This window comes from Homo sapiens, chromosome 4, assembly GCF_000001405.40.
Source record: "Homo sapiens chromosome 4, GRCh38.p14 Primary Assembly".
Lineage (NCBI taxonomy): Eukaryota > Metazoa > Chordata > Mammalia > Primates > Hominidae > Homo > Homo sapiens.
The window spans coordinates 138,736,241-138,739,904 of record NC_000004.12 but is presented as its reverse complement, the minus strand read 5'-3'; the positions used below and the strand labels follow the sequence as shown (position 1 = coordinate 138,739,904).

The following is a 3,664-nucleotide window of genomic DNA, read 5'->3' as shown; positions in this document are numbered from 1 at the left end:
ACATCTTGCACTGCCCTTAATCCATTTAACCCTGAGTGGACACAGCACATGTTTCAGAGAGCACCAGGTTGGGGGTAAGGTCATAGATCAACAGCATCCCAAGGCAGAAGAATTTTTCTTAGTACAGAACAAAATGGAGTCTCCTATGTCTACTTCTTTCTACACAGACACAGCAACAATCTGATTTCTCAATCTTTTCCCCACATTTCCCCCTTTTCTATTCGACAAAACCACCATCGTCATCATGGCCCGTTCTCAATGAGCTGTTGGGTACACCTCCCAGACGGGGTGGCGGCCGGGCAGAGGGGCTCCTCACTTCCCAGAAGGGGCGGCCGGGCAGAGGTGCCCCCCACCTCCTTGATGGGGCGGCTGGCCGGGTGGGGGCTGCCCCCCACCTCCCTCCCGGACGGGGCGGCTGCCGGGCGGAGACGCTCCTTACTTCCCAGACGGGGCGGCTGCCAGGCAGAGGGGCTCCTCACTTCTCAGACGGGGCGGCTGCCGGGCGGAGGGGCTCCTCACTTCTCAGACGGGGCGGCTGCCGGGCGGAGGGGCTCCTCACTTCTCAGACGGGGCGGCTGCCGGGCAGAGGGGCTCCTCACTTCTCAGACGGGGCGGCTGCCGGGCGGAGGGGCTCCTCACTTCTCAGACGGGGCAGCCGGGCAGAGACGCTCCTCACTTCCCAGACGGGGTGGCGGCCGGGCAGAGGCTGCAATCTCGGCACTTTGGGAGGCCAAGGCAGGCGGCTGGGAGGTGGAGGTTGTAGCAAGCCGAGATCACGCCACTGCACTCCAGCCTGGGCAACATTGAGCACTGAGTGAATGAGACTCCATCTGCAATCCCGGCACCTCGGGAGCCGAGGCTGGCAGATCACTCGCGGTTAGGAGCTGGAGACCAGCCCGGCCAACACAGCGAAACCCCGTCTCCCCGCAAAAAATACGAAAACCAGTCAGGCGTGGGGGCACGCGCCTGCAGTCGCAGGCACTCCGCAGGCTGAGGCAGGAGAATCAGGCAGGGAGGTTGCAGTGAGCAGAGATGGCAGCAGTACAGTCCAGCTTCGGCTGGGCATCAGAGGGAGACGGTGGAAAAAGAGGGAGAGGGAGACTGTGGGGAGAGGGGGAGGGGGAGGGGGAGAGGGAGAGGGAGCACCTCCATTCTTTAAACACAGATTGACTCCAGGACATGAACGGACTGCCAAGTAGTTAACCTGCACAACAGCAGTAGAGCTGCAGCGGATAAACTGTCCTTTGATGAAAGCATCCCAGTGCCTCCTTAATTACATCCCTGAGAATTCGCATATCTTACGAATGGCCACATTGAATGGCCACATTGGTCATGGCCATGTGGAAAAGGAGTTAGAAGAATCAGACACCAGCAGACTAAATCACTCAGGGACTGTGGTTCTCAGGGCTCTAACCCAAGTTGCAGAGGAAGTCCGATCACGCTAGGGAGTAAATCACAGAGCATCTTGATATTGTTTCAGATTCCCACTCTTCCTCCAAACCTGCAATGCCACACATAACTCAATAATTAAATTTTCATAATTGAAAAGATTCTAGGGTAAAATGTTCATATTTCCACTTTCCCAATGGGGGAAAAAGTAACACAGAAGGTAGACTTGTCTATAATACTGACTTGTAGCTCTAAATGGCAACGTTAAAAAATATTAAATACTGTTATATCTCAAGTTATAGGGGTCCATGGTAAAATAACAAACAATGGGTTCTTGTTTTCTATTTTAAAGATGTTGGAGGAAAATGAAACAGCCTGGATTATACTAGGAAATACAGTGTCACCTGGCATACAGTGCTCAATAGTTATTTGAGCCAAAAATGATGTGAACATGCTACCTGGTCTCTTAATTCAAGACAATTCAATTCAGTTCAATATATTTCAGTTTGATTCAGTAATCATTTACTACCAGTTCTATGCAAGGTGCTGTGTTAGTGGCTGCAGAGAATAACAAGACACAATCTGTTGTTGTTCTTGGTGGTGGTAGAGATAATTACCAACATCAGACCATTCAACAAATGTGGAATCTACAAAACAGGCAATGTTAGCTTCACAAGAGAGCTACCTAAAAAGTACCCACAAAGGTCATGACACAGACATATGAATATTACTTCCAGAGTACAGATTATAGAAGCAACCAAGCTGTTGTCACTGGCAGCACTTATTCAGTTAAGCATAACAAGTCATCTAACACTGAGTGCATATTTGTAGACCAGAATGAGTGCATGCTGGTTTTATTGAACCTTTCTCTTGTAAAGGATGTTGCGTGGTCTAGTGGGGGGTGAGCTAGCAATTTTTAGCTTAATGGACCTGTGTTCAGATCCTACTTGCACTAATTGTTAGCTTTGTGAAACTGGTAAATAGGTCTTTGATTCTCAATTCTTTTTCTCTAAAATAGAAATAATATTTCTATTAATACTAATTTCCAAGGTTGTCATGAAGATTCAAAAAGGATTCACAATATCCTTAGTACAGCATCTGGCACATAGAAGACCCGTACTAAGGATTCCTTCCCTGTCCTTCTCTCTTCTGTCATGGAGCAAGCTTACATACGTCAATCTATTCACCTGATACATTTGCCTTCATGGTGCCATGGAGAAGGGCAGTAATTTTTTTCTGGGCGGTTTACTTTTTAGTAGCACTAAGGAAATGAGGGGAAAAAATTTAAGAATATGCAACCAATGCAATGAATGTTTCCCAAGATGAAGACAACTCAATGTGCTAAGGGGTGTATTGTCTGTGTTTACAAAAACTAGCATTGATATTCAGAGGATTATTTCAAGCCTCTTTTACATACATGATCTAAAATTCATCTCGTTCACTGTTGAGTTATGTTTGAAAAGTAGCCAGCTTCTTAGTATGAATGTTTGACTGATAAATATTTTATTAATATTATAGTTCAGATCTACTTTCATTTTCTTCAATATTTGGATTTTTTTGTTGGTAAAATTGAATAACACTGTACCTATGACTGAAAGTGGTGGTGGATTACATTTCTGAGCATATTTTCCTCCCTAGAATTTGAGGTTCTTTTCAGGTGTTAAATTCATTATGTTGTATTGTTTCCCCCTCTTCTCCAGTTCCTCTTTCTTTCTGGAAGGTTTTCTTGAAACACAGATTCCTCTTTATTTCCATATTTTTCCTTTTTTCCTCCTAAGACTGTTATTGAAGATAGCAGATTGTAAATTCCCTGACAGGAGTCTTTATGTCTTAAATCTCTTTGCTTAATAAATATTTACTCATATGCCAAAAAAAGCCCAGAAAAGTCTCTATTCAATAAAATCCCCCATTTGTAACATTAAAATCTTTATTTTAGTGACTAAAGCATTACTCATCATGGAACATTGTTTCTAATTTTCCTGATGAGTCAGAAAGACACAAAACACTATATCTGGAAAAGTCACAGCAAATGGATATTTTTATTTATTTCATACAGGGTGTATTAATTTGTAGAAAATCTTAAAAATCAAATAGATTACTCAATGATAATACTTAGCTATAACATTTTCCCATGTTAAGTATAAAAAAAATATTTTTCTCTTTCCCTCATAGCCTTCCTCCCTTTCTTCTGTTCTTTATTTCGTTCTCACCTAGATCATTTCATAAGAGGGGGGCAATATACTGTCACGGTGGCTGATTTTTCAAGGCTCACTGC

The 3,664-nt window shown here is 44.4% G+C and overlaps 1 annotated feature.

Moving 5' to 3' along the window:
* Positions 325 to 969: an enhancer, noted in NCBI's record as "H3K27ac hESC enhancer chr4:139660090-139660734 (GRCh37/hg19 assembly coordinates)". NCBI's record gives its function as "activates a minimal SCP1, AML or CMV promoter by ChIP-STARR-seq in primed H9 embryonic stem cells {active_cell/tissue: H9 hESC(primed)}" and the evidence as "EXISTENCE:reporter gene assay evidence [ECO:0000049][PMID:30033119]".